Source organism: Homo sapiens, chromosome 20, assembly GCF_000001405.40.
Source record: "Homo sapiens chromosome 20, GRCh38.p14 Primary Assembly".
NCBI lineage: Eukaryota > Metazoa > Chordata > Mammalia > Primates > Hominidae > Homo > Homo sapiens.
This window is the reverse complement of record NC_000020.11, coordinates 41,582,363-41,603,112: the sequence shown is the minus strand read 5'-3', so window position 1 is coordinate 41,603,112 and position 20,750 is coordinate 41,582,363. Positions and strand designations below refer to the sequence as shown.

General features: G+C 40.8%; 1 protein-coding gene across 7 annotated transcripts in view; it reads left to right on the top strand.

Annotated features, from left to right (window-relative positions):
- The window catches only part of CHD6 (chromodomain helicase DNA binding protein 6), a 216,295-nt gene that overhangs the window by 15,265 nt on the left and 180,280 nt on the right, over positions 1-20,750 (top strand). Inside the window, exon 1 of one of the 7 annotated variants that reach the window (XM_047440550.1) lies at positions 187-20,750. This exon is cut by the window's right edge and continues 21,827 nt beyond it. The exons of the other annotated variants lie outside the window; for them this stretch is intronic. The gene's annotated coding sequence lies outside the window, so the exon portion shown is untranslated. Of the gene's footprint in view, positions 1-186 lie in introns of those variants that run through there. 7 annotated transcript variants of the gene reach the window in all.

Here is a 20,750-nt window from a genome sequence, read left to right as displayed (position 1 = left end):
TCAAAGTGCTGGGTTTACAGGCATGAGCCACCATGCCCAGCATAATTCAAATATTTTAATATTCAGTATTTACTCTCACCACTTGTGATGCACTCGATTTTCTATTCTCTAATCTTTTAAAAATAGTTTTGGCCAGGCACGGTGGCTCATGCCTGTAATCCTAGCACTTTGAGGGGATGAGGCAGGCAGATCACGTGAGCCCAGGAGTTCGAGACCAGCCTGGTCAGCATATTGAGACCCTATCTCTACAAAATATTTTAAAAATTAGCCCGGTGTGGTGGTGTGCACCTGTAGATCCTGCTACTCAGGAGGCAAAGGTAGGAGGATTGCCCATGATCATGCCACTGCAATTCAGCTTGAGCAACAGAATGAGACCCTGTCTCCAAAAAAAGTTTTACTGAAATATAATTTACATGCTATAAAATTGTCCTTTTAAAATTCTGGGTTTTTTTAATGTAAAAAGAAATGCTGGTGATGACCCCACTGACTTGTAAAAGCATGACAGTGCGAGGAGCAGTGCAGAGGCACAGTTGGATTAGAGACTGTCCACCAGGGAGGCAAGAAAGGCAGGCCAGCACCCAGCCTTGAACCACTGTGCTCACTGCAGTCACTGGACTGTGTTTCGTTAAACACCCTTAAACTTGAGCAAACTGGCAGTTTTACTCCTTGGTGTGAGATGAAGGCTGGGGTAAGCCCACAGGTAAAACTGCTCTGGTGGTCAACCAAGGGGCTTGCCTCATAGGAAGGTGAAATGGGCACCTTCTTTTTGTGGTTTGTGGTGCCAGCATCCCCTCTTCTCTTTGCCAGGAAGAAAGAGAGAGGGAGAGGAGGGGGTAGCGGAAAGGAAGCTTTGTCTCATTAGACAGTAGAGCCTGAAATTCTTGTAATTCATGTTACTCTATTTAACTGAGTTTATTCATGAGAATCTTTGAGAGAGTGACTGTAGGGACATGGGTATTTGATCAGTTTGCTCTCATTAATCTGCTAACCAAAAGGAGATAGAGCACCACGGAAATGAAATAGGAAACAACTAAGTTTTCATTAGGAAAGTGGAAGAGGAGAGGGACTAAAGAATGCAGTGTAGCTTTGCTTTGTTGGGTTGTGTTCATGGCCAGAGGGAGGCCCTGTGTGGTGAGGGTAATCAGCTGTGCAAGCAAGGAAGCCAGGGTGGAGAGGCTCAGAGAAGAGATTTGGTGCCGGTGCCAGGTAGGGCAGGAATATGACAGGACCAAATAAAACTGAGGGATCCCTGTCCCGTCCCAGAGCAGTGAAATAATTGGAGCAAACATTTATTGAGTGCTCACGATATGCCAGGCACTGTATCATCTCATTTAATCCTTTAACACCACATGAAATTTTGGGTTCTGTTATTACCTTCATTTTACCAATGAGGAAACTGAGGCACAGGGAGGTAAAGTAACTTGTTTGGGGTTGCACAGTTACTTGTTCTGACATTTATATAAATGCAGGGCATTGAAGATCCTGCCTTGAAGCGAGTGAACCCACTGCTTCTGGGACCATATCTGCTATACCATAGCTTCAGGAGCATACCTTTCCTGGCAGATCCCATAATCTTTGAGTCATTTAGTCTCCAGGTTGCTACCTTGAAGTTCACTCTTAGAGGCTGGTGACCATAATACTAAAAATAACACTGTCCTAGAGAATATTTATAGTTTTTTCACTCCCTCTTCATAAGTACAGACTGTGCCTTATCTAGGAAATACCACTTATTTTGGGACTCTAGAGTTGGGCATATAAATTGTAAGGCATGTCCAGTAGTAGTCGTGTTTCAAGTCACTTCAACAGACATTTTCATGCTTCTAAAGAGCCCTGCCATGTACTTCGTGCTAGAATGGCAAATGTGATCTCAGGGGAAATAAACATGACCAATATTTAAATTGAAGTGAACCAAAGTAATAGAACAGTAAAAGGAACATAGAAGGAGGGTGAGGAGGTTAGGAAGAACTTCCCAGAAGAGTTAACATCTGAGTTGGGATTTGAAGGATGAATAGGAGTTTGTCAGGCAGGTAACAGTCACAGAAAGATTAAGTGAAAATTCCTGGAAAGGTGGGCAGAGGTTTTCTTCTGATTTTATTGCCAGTGTGTCTAGATTTTTGATGTGATAGAGCCTTCAGTTGTAAAATTCCACTTTTTTCTCCTAGTGACTTGAAATGCCATTGGGATCCTATGCCTCAACAGTGGGGCTGGGTATGTTTCCAGCCAGTCATAGGGAGGGGCAAATGCTACCCATGCAGCACCTGTAGGCACACTGCAACTCTGGACAGAAGCAAGTTTCTTGTTTGTGTGAGGTGATGGTGGTGGTTAGCTTAGCTCCAGCCCAAAACTTTGACTGCAATTGCTTGACTAGATTTTTCTTCCCTTATATGAAAATAGTGTAGTTGATTGTTGTTATTTAGAAAGTATTTAGGCGTTCAGTCACAAATGTTTATTGAGCATTGATGTTTGGATGGGGGTTGAGGCAGATGAGGGCCATATATAGAACTTGGGTTTTTGAAATACAAGATAAATTTCAGTAAATGGTACTAATCTCAAGTATACTGCTTGATTATTCTTTTAGATATGTATATACCTGTGTAACTGCCACCCTCAGATCAACATAGAGACTGTTCCAACACTCCATAAGGTTCTCTTGTGACCCTTCCTGGATAAGACCCCCCCCTCACTCTACCCTACTCCGCTTAGTTCTGGCTTCTGTCACAAAGATTAGTTTTGCCTGTTATTGAACTTCAAATGGAATAATACAAAATGTCCTGTTTCGTATCTGGCTTCTTTAGTGCAAAGTATATCTGTGAGATTCAAATTGTTGGGAGGCATTGATTATAACATATGATTTGTGCCATTGAGGGTTGGGTCTGGATTTGTTGGTGGCATTCATTTATTCAGTACACATTTACAGGCACTCTACAGGGGTTTACAGATAAAAGATAAATACAGTTCCTGCCATCAAGGACTTTTCAGTGTATTGAAGGAGACAGACACACAAATGTTACAGACAAGTGCTCGGTGCCACAAAGAAAAACCAGCACTTAGAAAATTTCTCAGCAAGGCACATTTACTTCTGCAGAATGGTGCTGCCTGCACCTGTCTGATCACAAGAGCACACTGAGCAGGGTAGAGCAGGGTTTTAAATCCCTATATAGTTCCTGTTTCTGTGTCCTTTCCCCATTGGCTGGAGTTGGACCACACAGTCTAAGCTGACCCAATTGGCTAGTGTTTAAAATGGAATAAGGCCAATTAGGCGGGAAGGGAGAGGCTGTCTATTACCAACTAGTTGGGAGGGGTTGTTTACAGAGTCAGAGATTTGCTAGTTATAGATTAAGCAGAGAAACAAGTGTTCATTACAGATTAAGCAGGAAGGGCTGTGTACAGAGAGAAAGACGAAGGAAGCTTTGAAGAGGAACTTATTGTGTCTGGCAGATTTCCCCCTCTTGAGTTTATAGTTCTTCCTCTTCAAATTTTTGTAACATATCTTGGCTTTGTTGCTCCTCTTGGTTGTCTGGGAGTAGGAACTTATCCGAGTAGGGAGGGGGAGAATCGAGAGGGGTTTTGGTGGGGGCTGTTTTTATAAGCCTTTGCCCTGATCCACAAATACGAGGTATGGTGCAGCAACCTACAAGAATGAGTACACCTATAGCAATTGCAAGGGGGGTAAAGATTGAGGTTATGAGTCCCTTCCATTTTCTAAACCATTTTTCCATGAGACCAGAGAAGGGGTAATCTATTCCAGAATTTTCGGCTAATTCATTTGCTAGGGTGGTAAGGCCCAGGCTTTTGTAATTGTTCCATCGGGGGCTGTGTTGTTAGGGATAAAAGTACAGCATTGGACCCCAATCATGACACAGACTCCCACCTTTCTTGGCTAATATCATGTCCAGGGCTATCCTGTTTTCCCAAGCCATTTGGCTGTTAGGACCTAATTGTTCAGCTATTCCTTTAATGGCATCCCTAGTATAATTGACAAACTGCTGTTGATTATAGTAAATGTAATTTATCCAGTCTACACTTTTGTTTACAGTTTCCCATGAGAACAATATAGATTGAAATCCTGTAGCTATTTGATTTTGGGCTTTAAATTCATTTAACACTCCTCGTGGAACTCCGATGGCATCTATGTAAATGTAAGGGTCAGAGGACCCGTAGGGAGTACTCCTTTTTTTGTGATTGTCCTTTTTGCTTAGTCGACGAAATGCCAGGGTGGGATGGCCAATTGAATTAGGGCGCAAGTGTTGCCCCACTTATTTGGCAGAGTACCCAATAGTGGTCCACCACAGTACCACCATACATCTGCTTGGGGATGAACAAGGGCAGACTGATTGGTTAGCTCCTAGAAAGGCTTAGGCTTACTTCATCTTGCTAGATTTCCAAGGAATGCCAAGTTTTCCCCTTGCTGTGAGAGACACGAGGTGAAATTGACATTGGTACCTGGAGGACAGATGGCCCTTGGGGGCTGACCCGCAGGGCTTTTAACTTCCGGGAATAACAGCAAGAGAGTTTGGCATGCCTTATTGCCCCAGGCTGTGGGGTTTTGGAAGAGAGATACCATACAGCTCATACCCTGTTGGTCGGAGGACCATCCAAGTAGAAAGGGGATGATTTGGGTTTCTGGCCTGCCCGTTGCACAAGCGTTAACAGTCGCTTTTGTTTAGTTTGCGGACGGAATATTTAATCCGTGCTAGCCAGGCATTTGCATCTTGGTACCCTGTTTCAATAGCTAGGGTGGGTTTTAAATCTTTAACTTCTACAGTGGCTACTTTGGGAGCCATTGCATTGTAGGGAGAGACTAGTAGTTTGATTAGAAGGTTTGAAGGAGAGGGCGGAGGGGATGACGAGGCAACGAAACTAATTTTGAAAAATCCTGTAGAGTCTGCCCCTGCGACCTCTGCTCCCATACCCTAGAAACGACTTAATGAAGGGAGGAATTTTGGGAAATTGAGATAGTAATGGAAATTTGTACTGGATTACATTAGTTTTGCTGGCAATTGGTGGGGGGGCTTCCTTTAGTGAAACAATTGTATAGTTTTAGGGATACACAGAGACTTGTTGGGGAGGTCCAACCCTGATTTTTCGTAGTCCATAGAACATTGGACCAGCTATGGCAGAGACGCTCTGTTTGCAGAGGACGGGATTCCCAGTTAACAGAATTTTAAAAATAATATCCCAAGTCTAAGGGAACTCCCCAGTTAATAGAATCTGCCCAGTCTGAGAATTTCCAAGAAGGGCAAAGTAGAGAGCTGCCTTTGACTTCGCAAGTCTCCACAGGGTATAACAAGACAAGCATCAAAAGTAATGATTTGCGGTGACTCTGATGCGTTTATATTAATAATGAGATGTGGGGTAGCTAAGGGAAAGAGAAGAGGAAAAAAAAAAGGATAGACAGATTAGGCTTTTTTCTTTAACATTACTCTGATGGGGGTTGGTCCTGGGATGATGGTCCTTGACTTTGGAGAGGGCGATGCCTTTTTGACCCGGGTATGGTGGGTCAACCCCTTCTCAGTGGTTCAGACTGCTGTTTCAGTCGTTAGGAGCACTAGATAAGGGGTCCTTCCCAGGTGGGTTCGAGCTTTCCCTCTTTCCAACTTCTGATAAGGACATGATCTCCAGGTTGGTGTTGGTGAACTGCGAATTCAAGGGGTGGAGTTTGCGCTAGGAGGCCTTGAGTCCTGAGAAAGGAAAGGGTAGAAGACAGACCAAATACATAGTTTTTAAGAAACTGATCCTTTGTCTCAAATGTCGGGAGGTCCGTAGTGGAATTTAAATAAGGCAACCCATAAAACATTTCATAAGGAGATAAGCTGATGTCTTTCCGGGGAGCAGTTCGGATTTACGTCCCACCTCTAAATTTATAAGGGGCTCTTGGTGGTACTTGAGATAAAAGAAACAGAATCCCTGACCTCCCTATTCTTCTTCAAAGGCCGTAAGTGGGATGACTTCTTTTTCTTTTTCCCATTTGGGACATTCTCTTTTGAAGTGACCTATTCTTCCACATTTGAAACATTTGTTTTGCCCTCTTTCTCTCCCTGTTTTTAAGTTTCCTTGCTTTGCTTTTACATACCCTTTATATGGCCTAGTGAGTGGGGGCTTAAGTTCTTTACAGGTTTTGGACCCTCGGGTACTTTGTTGTAGAGCGGACAGCATGATTTTTTGCCTTTTGCTTTTGCTTTTCTTTATCCCTTCTTACATATACTTTTTGGGCCTCCCTCAAAGGTTCCTCTATAGGCCGATCTTTCCATTTCCAGTTCTCTATTTTTTGTAATTTCTTTGTGATATCTGGCCAACTATTAGTAACAAAATGGAGCTTTCACATCCCCTGCCCAAGGGGATCCTCTGTGTCTAAGCCTACATATTTTCTCATCTGTTCCTTGAGTCTGTTTAAAAACTCCATGGGCCCTTCATCTTTTCCCTGCTGTATATTAAATGCTCGGGAAATACTTTGGGTTCAAGGCACTGATTCCTGAATCCCTTTAACTATCATTTCCCTAAGGTCTTTCAAGTTTTCTCGGTGGGCTGCATTGTTATTATCCCATTGCGGGTCTTGGGCCAGAAATTTTTGTTCTGCTGCAGGGATATTTTGACCGGGAGGATGTTTGTGCTCCCAGACTATCATAGCAGCCCTGCGGATCATGGTTCTTTCCTCCCTCGAAAAGAGAATACTGAAGATGGACATTAACTCAGCCCAAGTGTATACTTGTGGTCCTAAAAATTGGTCAATTTGATCCGTGACCCCAAAAGGATCATCTAATAGTGGTTTAAGTTCCCTCTTCAGGTTTCTGACCTCTAAACTAGTTAAGGGGGCATTTACAAAGCCAATTCCCATTCCTCCACGTGGCACTTCTCTTAAGGGAAAAAGGGTTGGGGCAGACTCCTTTTAGGAGAGGAAAGGGAAGTTGTGAGTGTCCCTGTGGCATTGTTCTATTTCTCGTTGGAGCTTCTCTGAGGGAGGGGCATGTTTGGGCGACTACTCCATAGGAATGTGGGGTGACGGGGCCCGCAGGGCAGGGTTATATGGTGGAGGGACTGAGTGTTCAGCTTGGGGCAGAGCGGTGGGTGGGGGAAGGTTGTCTAAAGGGTCCCATGTGGTGTTAGACTGCTTGGGGGTAGGGATTCTGTTTTCAGGGGAGGTAGCTTTTGGCTTATTTCCTGTAGCTTTTAGGGGGTAGAGGAGGACAGGCCCCTGCCGCCAGCACAGGGCATAGTCTATTTCCTCCTGGGAGACAGGACTTTTGTCATTGACATATTCTATTAGAAGTTGACAAATCCAATCCTCATTTGACCCAAACTGGCCAAAAAAAAAAGCAAACTGAGGGTTCAAGGGTGGGTTCTTTGGTCCAAATAAAACAACAATATTTTATCATTTGTTGCTTTTTCTAATGTTTAGTCCTTTCATTACCCTTACAGTATTTTAACATGAGACCTGGAGGGCTATTAGAGGGAATTTTATTGTCTGTCTAGTCCTTTATATTTCCTGTCCTGCTTGGGTTATTTCCCATCCTGGAAGTTTTAGGTGTTTCCCTGAGTTTCCTGCATGTGTGGGGCTAAACCTCTCTTACTAGAGATTTCTTGCACCCTTTCTCTGGAGGCTCAACCACCCCACTGGAGGTTTCTTGCACTCCTTTGCCTTCCCTTCATCCTTCTTGGGCCGCTTCCCTCATGGGAATTTAGGTCCCTCTTAGCATTGGTGGGTTGGTATAAACCCCCGACAGGAAAGGCGTGCCCCACCTTAAGCTGTATGAGGTGACCACAGAACTGCAAATCTGGACTCCACACTTGCTTCAGACTTAATTCTGCATCTCATTCACACACTTTCAACTTCCAGGGTGTCCTGACCACCAAGGAAGTACTTCACTGCCCCATGGATTTTCTTACATTGGTCTGTGCACAGTTACTGGGTCGCCACAGTATCAGTAGGCCCTTTCCTCCTGCGTTGCTGAGAGTCTGGGTTTATTCGTCACACCAGGTGGGTCTCGATCCCTCACCCCTGAGGCCACTGCAACAAGGCAGTGGGACACATCTCCTCACAAGAGATGATCAGAGACCCTTCCCCAGAGGAGAATGGGATCCTGGACGATCCCTCAAATTGTTAGAGACAAGTGCTCAGTGCCACAAAGAAAAACCAGCACTTAGAAAGTTTCTCAGCAAGACACATTTACTTCTGCAGAAGGGTGCTACCTGCACCTGTCCGATCACAAGAACACACTGAGCAGGGTAGGGCAGGGGTTTTTATCCCTAACACAGTTCCTGTGTCCTTTCCCCCATTGGGTGGAGTTGGACCACACAGTCTAAGCTGACCCGATTGGCTAGTGTTTGAAATTGAATAAGGTCAATTAGGCGAGAAGGGAGAGGCTGTCCATTACCAACTAGTTGGGAAGGGTTGTTTACAGAGTCAGAGATTTGCTAGTTATAGATTAAGCAGAGAAACAAGTGTTCATTACAGATTAAGCAGGAAGGGCTTGTGTACAGAGCAAGAAAGACCAAGCAAGCTTTGAAGAGGAACTTATTGTTTCTGGCACAAATAATCACAATGGGTGGTAGGTCAACTTTTAGGTGGTGAAAATGGTTTTCAAAAGACTTTATAGAGGTGGTGAGTTTCTTCTGATTCTTAAAAGATTATTAGGAGTTTTCCAGATAGTCAAAGGGCATGATAGCTCGTGCACAGATGTGGAGGTGTGAAGTGGAGCACAATGTCTTCAGAGACCTGCAGTACCAGTACTTTGATTTTAGATTGGTGTAAGAATGCCAAAAACATCACTTTGGGAAGAAATTTTGAGGAAAACATTGTCATATAAGTTTGACTTCCATCTTAGGCTGGAGCCATGGGATGTGACCACTTTAGCATATGGTCCTGAAAATACCATAGTGGAGAAGGCAAAGAGTGGAAGTGAGCTGCAGCTAGGTAAAAAGGTTCCAACAGTGCTTTACTATTGATACTGTGGAACACCTTTATGAGGTTAGATAAAAACTATAGGGATGCTTATTATGAATGTGGTGTTTTTTTCAATAATTGAGATGAATTGAGGTGTTCCATTAAGCCATCAAAAATCCCATAAGGGTAGATTTAGAAGTAGCATCTCTTCTTGATCATGGGATTTTTTTTTTTTTTTTAAGCAAAATTTGTTCTCCATTGCATTAGTTCGTTAGGGCCATACCAAAATACTACGGACTGGATAGCTTAAAGAATAGAAATTACGTTCTCACAATTCTGGTGCCTGGAAGTCCAAGATCAAGATGTCAGCAGGTTCGGTTTCTTTCTTCTCTTCGCTTGTAGATAGCTGCCTCTTGCCATATCCTCACATGGTCTTTTCTCTGTGTTTATCTATGTCCACATCTCATCTTTTTGTAAGGATACCAGTCATATTGGATTAGAAGTCACAGTAATGGCCTCCTTTTAACTTACCTCTTTAAAGACCCTATCTCCAAATACAGTCACATGCTGAGGAAATAGAGTTTAGGGCTTCAGCATATGAATTTGGGGGTCAGACACTGCAGCTTATAACACCCATGTTTCAAAACTTATTATATTAAGAGTTGGGTTTTTGGGGGGTTGTCACCAGAGAAAAACAGGCTAGAAGAGCTGCAATATCAGCAGGTAGCAGTGTTGTAGGCCAAAGTCATGTGGGACCCCTGTGGGTGCTGGGCTTGCTTTTAAAGTGCCATCTCTGAGTTCTTAGTGGCTTGGGTCTGTGCATACAGAAAGCCTTTGGGTAGTATAGCTTAACTCCTTGTGTGTTCTCATAAATTAATGCTGAAAATAGAGACTAAGAAGTAAAGAAACCAAAGTGTAAAGGCCATGTGAGCATCACAAGGGAGATAATTTCATAACTTTTATAACTCTGAATTTATTCTAGTGATGAACAAACCATATCCCTCTTTTACTATTTAACCCCCCCCCCCCTTTTTGATTGGGCTGAGTTAAACAGTGTTGGCATTCTCCTTATCAAAACATTTGGATACCAAAGAACTGTTTTAAAATGCCTGAATCTTCTCCTTGGAGGCAAGAAATTGTTTTCTGTAGAAGGATTGTATTTTGATTTTTCTGTTGTTTTTGCCACAAAGAGGGTGGAGGGATAGGTTTTTTCTTTCTTGTTTAAGGAAGTCTTTTAAGGAAGTGCTTTTACATAGTCACTTCTTAAATTATTTCTTAAATTGAGTTTTGGAGGGGCACGTTTTAGATACCTGAGAACTGGAAATCTTTGATTTCAGTGTAATAGTATTTATTATAATGGTATGTGTCACAGAGTTTGTACTAAGGTATGTTAGCTCACACCCTCTGGTGTTAGACCCAGCCTAATGTAAAACAGGGAATCTTGGGAAGTCATGGCATCCCCGGGTGTTCTCATGTTGCATCCCTGCTAATGCCAGTGCTGTTCCATTGCCTTTTTGTTCCTTCCCTTAGTCATGGACTTCTTGACCACTAATTAGATTTTGCCAGGATAGTCTAGGTCAGAAGCAGGCATTTTTAAATCTTTGAACAGCAGCAAATGTAGTGTGCATGGTAGCTCCAGTTTCTATTTGTATGAATATGTGTACTCGTTGTCTTTAAATGAAGTACTACTATTGTGTCATTGTTAATACTTTTAAAAAGGAGTAAATTAATTGTTTGAAATGGATCATAGTTCAAAAGTATATCTAGATTTTACTTATTTTTGAGGAAAACTATCTTTCTCAAAAGACTCTCGTTTAAGACAGTAAACATTACCTATTACTCCAGCAAATTAAATGTGTTAACTTTCCAAGTTTTTCTATTTTGTTTTCTGCCATTTCATTCTACTCTACACTTAGATTTGACTTTACCCACTTTTCTTGTGTGTGTGGTTCATGTCCTTTTTTTAAAAAAAAGAAATTAGGTAGAGAATACCACTTACAAAAGTTTTTTTTGTTTTGTTTTGTTTTTTAAACCATGAAAATGCTGATAGTACTCAAAAGCTTTGGATATTGGGAACCTGTGACCATTGGACTCACGGGAGTCTGATTTGAAATTCTTTTTTTTTGTTTGTTTGATACAGAGTCTCACTCTGTCGCCCAGGCTGGAGTGCAGCGGCACGATCTCGGCTCACTACAAGCTCTGCCTCCTGGGTTCACGCCATTCTCTTGCCTCTGCCTCCTGAGTAGCTGGGACTACAGGCACACGCCACCACACCTGGCTAATTTTTTGTATTTTTAGTAGAGACGGGGTTTCACTGTCTTAGCCAGGATGGTCTTGATCTCCTGACCTTGTGATCTGCCTGCCTTGGCCTCCCAGAGGGCTGCGATTACAGGCGTGAGCCACTGCGCCCAGCCTTGAAATTCTTTATACCTTAGTGGAGTGGTCTGTATGTTTTATCGGCACCTTCCATCTGTGAAAATCCTTGAATGGTTGCAGCCGTATTTTCTAGACATGTCTACTGGCTTTGTTTTTTCTTTTGATTTGGAGTTTCATTCTTGTTGCCCAGGCTGGAGTGCAATGGTGCAATCTTGGCTTACCACAACCTCCGCCTCCCGGGTTCAAGTGATTCTCCTGCCTCAGCCTCCCGAATAGCTGGTATTATAGGCACACGCTACCATGCCCAGCTAATTTTTTTTATTTTTTAGTAGAGACGGAGTTTCTTCATGTTGGCCAGGCTGGTCTTGAACTCTCGACCTCAAGTGATCTGCCCACCTTGGCCTCCCAATCTCCTGGCTTTCTTTTATATATATATGTATATATATATGTGTGTGTGTGTGTGTGTGTGTGTGTGTATATATATATATATGTAAAATTATACTTTAAGTTCTAGGGTACATGTGCACATTGTGCAGGTTTGTTACATAGGTATACATGTGCCATGTTGGTGTGCTGTACCCATTAACTCGTCATTTACATTAGGTATATCTCCTAATGCTATCCCTCCCCCCTCCCCCCACCCCACAACAGGCCCCGGTGTGTGATGTTCCCCTTCCTGTGTCCAAGTGTTCTCATTGTTCAATTCCCACCTATGAGTGAGAACATGCAGCATTTGGTTTTTTGTCCCTGCAATAGTTTGCTGAGAATGATGCTTTCCAGCTTCATCCATGTCCCTACAAAGGACATGAACTCATCATTTTTTTATGGCTGCATAGTATTCCATGGTGTATATGTGCCACATTTTCTTAATCCAGTCTATCATTGTTGGACATTTGGGTTGGTTCCAAATCTTTGCTATTGTGAATAGTGCTGCAGTAAACATACGTGTGCATGTGTCTTTATAGCAGCATGATTTATAATCCTTTGGGTATATACCCAGTAATGGGATGGGTGGGTCAAATGGTATTTCTAGTTCTAGATCCCTGAGGAATCGCCACACTGTCTTCCGCAATGGTTGAACCAGTTTACAGTCCCACCAACAGTGTAAAAGTGTTCCTATTTCTCCACATCCTCTCCAGCACCTGTTATTTCCTGTCTTTTTAATGATCGCCATTCTAACTGGTGTGAGATGGTATCTCATTGTGGTTTTGATTTGCATTTCTCTGATGGCCAGTGATGATGAGCATTTTTTCATGAGTCTTTTGGCTGCATAAATGTCTTCTTTTGAGAAATGTCTGTTCATATCCTTTGCCCACTTGTTGATGGGGTTGTTTTTTTCTTGTAAATTTGTTAGAGTTCTTTGTAGATTCTGGATATTAGCCCTTTGTCAGATGAGTAGATTGTAAAAATTTTCTCCCATTCTGTGGGTGCCTGTTCACTCTGATGGTAGTTTCTTTTGCTGTGCAGAAGCTCTTTAGTTTAATTACTTCCCATTTGTCAATTTTGGCTTTTGTTGCCATTGCTTTTGGTGTTTTAGACATGAAGTTCTTGCCCATGCCTGTGTCCTGCATGGTATTGCCTAGGTTTTCTTCTAGCGTTTTTATGGTTTTAGGTCTAACATGTAAGTCTTTAATCCATCTTGAATTCGTATTTGTATAAGGTGTAAAGAAGGGATCGAACTTCAGCTTTCTACATATGGCTAGCCAGTTTTCCCAGCACCATTTATTAAATAGGGAATCCTTTCCCCATTTCTTGTTTTTGTCAGGTTTGTCAAACATCAGATGGTTGTAGATGTGTGGTATTACTTCTGAGGGCTCTGTTCTGTTCCATTGGTCTATATCTCTGTTTTGTACCCGTACCATGCTGTTTTGGTTACTGTAGCCTTGTAGTATAGTTTGAAGTCAGGTAGCGTGATGCCTCCAGCTTTGTTCTTTTGGCTTAGGATTGACTTGGCAATGCGGACTCTTTTTTGGTTCCATATGAACTTTAAAGTAGTTTTTTCCAATTCTGTGAAGAAAGTGATAGCTTGATGGGGATGGCATTGAAGCTATAAATTACCTTGGGCAGTATGGCCATTTTCACGATATTGATTCTTCCTATCCATGAGCATGGAATGTTCTTCCATTTGTTTGTGTCCTCTTTTATTTCGTTGAGCAGTGATTTGTAGTTCTCCTTGAAGAGGTACTTCACATTCCTTGTAAGTTGGATTCCTAGGTATTTTATTCTGTTTGAATCAATTGTGAATGGGAGTTCACTCATAATTTGGCTCTCTGTTTGCCTGTTATTGGTGTATAAGAATGCTTGTGATTTTTGCACATTGATTTTCTATCCTGCGACTTTGCTGAAGTTGCTTATCAGCTTAAGGAGATTTTGGACTGAGATGATGGGGTTTTCTAAATATACAATCACGTCATCTGCAAACAGGGACGGTTTGACTTCCTCTTTTCCTAATTGAATACCCTTTATTTCTTTCTCCTGCCTGATTGCCCTGGCCAGAACTTCCAACACTATGTTGAATAGGAGTGGTGAGAGAGGGCATCCCTGTCTTGTGCCAGTTTTCAAAGGGAATGCTTCCAGTTTTTGCCCATTCAGTATGATATTGGCTGTGGGTTTGTCATAAATAGCTCTTAGTATTTTGAGATATGTCCCATCAATACCTAATTTGTTGAGAGTTTTTAGCATGAAGGGCTGTTGAATTTTGTCGAAGACCTTTTCTGCATCTATTGAGATAATCATGTGGTTTTTGTCTTTGGTTCTGTTTATATGCCAGATTACGTTTATTGATTTGCGTATGTTGAACCAGCCTTGCATCCCAGGGATGAAGCCCACTTGATCATGGTGGATAAGCTTTTTGATGTGCTGCTGGATTCGGTTTGCCAGTATTTTATTGAGGATTTTTGCATCGATGTTCATCAGGGATATTGGTCTAAAATTCTCTTTTTTTGTTGTGTCTCTTTTCCTGGCTTTCTTAAGAATCCCCCCAATCACCTTTTGATTAGAAATATTTCAACAAAATAATTTTAGACCATATCCTATAAGGGGAGAAAGGGGAGATCAGGGTCCTTAGATGACATTGCATTAGAGAGTGGGAGCTAGAGTAGCATGTCTTTGGTCCTAGAAAATTTTCTTGCTCTCTCTGTTTAGTTAGACTCTTTTAGTTTGCAGGGTACAAAGATTTAGGCCTAACTAGCTTAGAGAAGTGGTGTGGAGTAGTGTAGGAGACTGAATCATTGGTCTCAATTCCTCACTCTCCTGTAGTAGTTTTCTACGTCTTTACCCTGCCATAACCTCATGTGAGATGGGTTTTTGTACCTGCCTCTTCATTTTGGGCATGGGTATATGACTTACCTTGGCCCAGTGGGATGTTAGTGGACAAGACAAAAGCAGAGGTTAGTAGTATGCTTGGGCTGATGGGCTTATCCTCTAGTGCCTCTGTCATGACTATGAGAAGAAAAACCCTGAATTGCCACAGCCTCTTCAGCCTGTTTCTCATTGTGAGACCATACAGCAGAGCCACCTGAGCCGACCTGAACTTAAAGCAGTGCCAGCGCAACTCAGATGCCTGAGTGAAAATAAAATTCTTATTGTTGTATGACACTGAGATTTTGTGGTCTGTTGTTCAGCGTTATTGTGGCAATAGATGATGACTAACACATTTATCCTGCTGGATCCAGGACAACTCCAGGGGCTTTCATAAGCAGGTTTTCTTGGATAGTCTCTCTAGGATTTTGCCATTTACACCACTCCCTATGGGTCAGCCTCACCCTTCTTTTCCCACCTACTGGCTTCCTCATCCTACCTGCTGCTACCTGCCTCTACTTTATAGCTTCTGCTTGCTTATACACTATGCTCCCTCTTACTTTTTCCATGCCCAAGGTCCCTCCCTCATGGCTCCTCCAGGGTCTCTGAATTTCATGACTTCTCAGCGTTTACTCCTATTGCTTAATGCTTTATTCTTTTGGTACATTCCATTTCAAATTTGAGAGAGTCTATTTTGCCCAGCAGGGTTTTTTTGGGTTTTTTTTGGTTTGTTTTTCACTACAGAAATGTCATCAGTTGCTGGCCTGTTCAGGCATTGACTGCTCTTGGGTTAGGCAGTCCAACTCTGGTCAGTTAGATGTGTCACTGCGTTATTAATAGGAGGCTATCCTTTGTACACGTTAGTGTCATTATGACTTACTTTGGGAAGTGAGTATTAAAGCTTGTCAGTTTTCAGTGTGATCAGTTCCCCACTTACCAGAGAGAACTTTACTTTTGCAAGCTTTTAATTTTCTGAGGCTGCATACCATTTTTTTGTTTCCTAGTTCCAAGATACTAACCTTATGGTGTGAACTCTTGGGATGAACCTTTGTCAATGAAAAGCATGAGAGAAGAGACCCTCTACTGAAAGGAAAGCTGATTCATCTGAAAGGCTTGCTAATTATTCCAAAATCCTGAATAAGCTGACTTATTCTCTTATCAACTCCAAAGAGAAGAATAAAATAAGTCAGCTCATTTGGAAGGTTTAGGCTACTTAGGCTATCAGATAGTATTTCTGTAACAGAAGAGATTGGCCAATTTAAAGTTAGTTTATAACAATTACAAGGCTATGCTTAATTAGAGTTGTCTCTAAGTATTTCTCTAAGTATGTTTTTTGGACACTATTTTAAATGGTACTTTAAAAAATGTTAATTTGCAATTGTTTCTTGATAGTATGTTGAAATGTAATTGATTTTTATATGTCAATCTTATAGCCTATGACCTTATTAAATTATAGTTCTAGAAGCTCTTTTTATAGATTCTTTGGAATTTTCTATGTTATGATTAGTTATGTCAAGTGCAAATAACCATTTTATTTCTTCCTGTTTACTCTTTATGGCTTCTGTTCCTTTTTCTTGTCTTATTGCACTGGCTAGGATTCCTCCTCCTCACATGATATTGAGTCAGTGTGATGAAATTAGATGTCTTTGTGTTGTTCCTGAATTTAAGGGAAAATAATTCATTCACATTAACTATACGTTTTTTGTCAATGCCTTTTATCAAGTTGAGGAAGTTACCTTTTGTTCCAAATTTGCTGAGAGTTTTTATCATAAATGGATTTTGAATTTTGTTACATGCTTTTTGTGTATCACGATGACCATGGGGTTTTTCCTTTGGTCTGTTGATACGGTGAATTATATTGACTGATGTTTTTGAGGATTGACTCACTCTTGCATTCCTAGGATAAATCTCACTTGATCTTGATGTATTATTGTTACCAGCAGGTCTTTGTTCTTAGAGCTCCCAAGATGGTGGTGGGCCGCTCCCAAGATGGCAGCAAGCCTTTTGTTCTCTGACCTGGGGTTCTTGGCCTCACAGATTCTAAGGAATGGAACCTTGGCCCACGCAGTGAGTTCTATAGCTCTGTTAGAAGCCATGGGTCACGGAAGAGAACCGTGGAACCCAGAGACTAGCATTCAGCTCGATTAGGATGAATCCAGGCACTTAGCTGTGCAGGAACAATGGTGAGCCTCTAGCCCGATCAGGAGTGGCAATGGGCACCTCGCTGGATCAGAAGCACAGCGGACACCCTGCCGGATCCGGAGGGGTGAAAGTCAACGGCGGGTCTTGTGACGGCGTTCAGCAGTAGTTGACAGGGAGCGAAAGCTCAGCTTGAGCCGGAACAAACACGGACCAGAAGAGTGTGCAGTTGCAAGATTTAATAAGAGTGAAAACAGAGCTCCCATACAATGGGAGGGGACCCAAAGGGGGTTGCCACTACCTGCTCAAATGCCTGGGTTTATATCCCAGTCATTGTCCCTCCTCCTGTGCTCTCAGGCGATATATGATTTGACTATTTCTTTACCTCCTGCTTTTAGCCTAATTTGTATTTTAGTGAGCCCTCTTTACTACCTGATTGGTCAGGTGTGAGCTGAGTTATAAGCCCCGTGTTTAAAGGTGGGTGCAGTCCCCTTCCCAGCTAGGCTTAGGAATTCTTAGTCGGCCTAGGAAATCCAGCTAGTCCTGTCTCTCATTATCTTTTTTATATATTGCAGGATTCAATTTGCTGGTACTTTGTTAAGGAGTTTAATGTCACTTGTTTTGATCTTTGTCTTTGGTTGATGGTTTCTTGTATTTGCTGCGTTTGATGTCAAGGTAATGCTGGCCTCATGAAATGAGGTGGGAAGTGTCCCCTCCTTTTCTCTTTTCTGGAAGAGTTTATGTAAAATTGATATTATTTCTTCCTTAAATACAGTAAAATTCACCAGCGAAGTCATCTGCGCCTGGAGTTCTCTTTGTTGGAAGGCGTTTAACTGTAAATTTACCATCTTTCATAGGTAAAGGACTGTTCAAATTCTCTGTTTCTTTTTTTTTTTTTTTTTTTTGGTGAGACGGAGTTTCACTCTTGTTGCCAAGGCTGGAGTGCAATGGTGCGATCTTGGCTCACTGCAACCTCTTGGCTCACTGCAACCAGGTTCAAGCAATTCTCCTGCCTCAGCCTCCCGAGTAGCTGGGATTACAGGAATGCTCCCCACGCCTGGCTAATTTTGTATTTTTAGTAAAGACGGTTTCTCCATGTTGGTCAGGCTGGTCTTGAACTCCCAACCTCAGGTGATCCGCCTGCCTCGGCCTCCCAAAGTGCTGGGATTACAGGCGTGAGCCACCACACCTGGCTACTCTATATCTTCTTGAGTGAGCTTCGGTAGCTTTCACTTTTGTGGAGTTATTCAACTTATCTAAGTTCAAATTTATATACAGAAATTTGCTAATAATATTCCATTATTTTCCTTTAATGTATACCTCATGATGTCTCCTCTTTGAGTCCTAATACTGGTAAATTGTGTCTTTTTCCTTTTTTTACTTGATCATTCTACTTAGAGGTTTATAAAAAACTCGCTTTGGTTTCTTTCCTTTTCACGACTTATTTTTCTGTTCTTAATTTCATTGATTTTCGTTCATTATGATTTCTTCTGCTTCCTTTGGGTTTAATTTGGTCTCCAATTTTAGTTTCTTAGGTGGAAGTTTAATTGATTTGAGGTCTTTCTTCTTCCCTAATACAAGCTTTAATGCTATAAACTTTTGTCTAAGCACTGTTTAAGTTGCATTCTGTAAATTTTCATGTTGTTTTGATTTTGATTCTATTCCAAGTATTTTCTGGTTTCCCTTGTTACTTCCTTTTTGATCCATGTATTGTCTAGAAATGTGTTTTATTTTTATTTATGGATTTTCCTGATATCTTTCTGTTAATTTCAAATTTAATTTTTTTGTAGTTGGATAATATAATTTTAATTCTTTCAAATTTGTTGAGGTTTGTTTTATGGCCAAGAATATAGGCTGTATTGGTGAACGTTCCATGTTCACTTGAAAAGAATGTATATTCTGCTCTTGTAGGGTGAGGTGTTCTGTAAATGTTAATTAGGTAAAGTTGGTTGTAGTGTTATTGGTATCTTCTAGATAGAAATTTTTTTCTACACACTATGGATTACCAGAAGTGGAGTGTTAAGTCCACTGTTAATTATGGATATGTGTATTTCTCCTTACAATTCTGTGAATTCTTACATCGTATGCTGTTAAGCTCTGATGTCAGGTGCATACATATTAAGGATCGTTATATCTTTTCGATGAATTAACTCATCATTATGTGATGTCTCTCTATTGCTTTCAATATTTATTTCAAATCTACTTTGTGTAAATTTATGTAACCTCTCTAGCTTTCTTTTGATTAGTATGTGCTTGGTATCTTTTTCCATCATTTTACTTGTAACCTATCTATGTTTTTAAAATGGATTTCTTATAGAAACATATAACTGGGTATTGTGATAATCTCAGCCTTTTAACTGGTATGTATAGACTGTTTACATTTAACATAATTATTAATATGGTTGAATTTAAGTCTGTTATCTTGCCAGTTGATTTCTATTTGTCTCTAACCTGTTTCCCCTTTCCTCTTTATTCCTGCTTTTAGATTGAGGGTTTTTTAAAATTCAATTTTATCTCTATTATTGATGTATTAGTTATACCTTTTTATAAAAATTTAGTGATTGTCCTTGGATTTACAAGATACATCACAACCTACCTTCCCATATTATACTACTTCTCATATAGTATGAGATCCTAACAATACAGTATATTTCCAGTTTTTCCTCTTCATCCTATATGATATTGTCATACATCTTACTTTTATATTTTTTATAATCTCTACAATACACTGCTACTGTTTTTGCTTTAGGCAGTTATCTTTCAGAATGATTAAAAATGTGAAAAAAAGATCTCGCATTGACTTCTGTTTTTGCCATTTCTGGAGGTATCCACTTCTTCATGTAGGTCCTCATTTTTGTTCAGTGTCATATACCTTCTACTTAAAGAACTTCGTTTACCATTTCTTGTAGTGCAGGTATGCCGACATTGAATTATCTTAACTTTTAATTATCTGAAAACTGGTTGTTTTGCTTTCATTTTGGGGAGATATTTCTGCGTTGTGAGGTGTGTTTTTTTTTTCCTTCATTACTTTAAAGAATTACTCCATTGTCCTCTGGATTGCAAAAAATCTGATGAGTAGTCTGGTGAATTTTTTATTTTAATTTTCTTCTTCCAAGGTAATGTCTTTTTCCTCCCTCTGGCTGCATTTAAGATTTTCTGTTTAACTTTGATTTTTAGCTATTTAACTGTGAAGTGTCTCAATGTGTGTTCTTTATTGTATTTATTATATTTATTTGTGTGCTTGTTTATATTTATTCTGTAGGGTTCTCTGGGCTTCTTGGAGCTGTGATTTGATGACTTTATTTTTGGAGAATTCTTAGCCTTTTTTTCCCCCCTGCCAAATACTGTTTCTGCGTCAGTCCCTCTATCCCCTTCTGCCATCTGGGACTCCAGTTACATGTATATGATGCCATTGATCATATCCCACAGCTCTCCAGCCTTCTTTCTGTGTTTCCCTCCACTTCTTTTTCCCCGTTTTTGTTGCAGTTTGGGTGATTTCTAGTGACCTATCTTCAAGTTCGATTACTTCCTTGACTGTGTAGAGTGTTCTTATGAGCCCATCAAAGGAACTTTTAAATCTCTGATGACTTAAAAAAATTATACCATTTCCATTTGATTCTTTGTCACATATTTCATCTTTCTGTTGAAGTTTGCCATCTGTTCATACATATTGTCTACTAAATTTTTTAACATATCAATTGTTGTTATTTTAAATTTCCTCTCCAATACTTACAACATCTTGGTCATCTTTCTTAGTTTGGCTCTCTTGTTTGGTTTGTCTTTTGATATGGGTTCTTCCCTGCTTTTGCTTTTTCATATGCCTTATAGTTTTTGATCGACTGGTGGACATTACTGTAGAACAATAGAGACTGAGATGGACATTAAATATTTATGTTGAGACTACTACTGTTACATTGGTATTGGGGTTTGCAGGGAGTCATATTTGTGCATATAGAATATTCAGCACCTGTTACAGGATTTGGAGTATGACTTTACTATTTTCAATTATTATAAAGTTTCACATTTCCATATTGTTTCCTTTTATAATACCCTA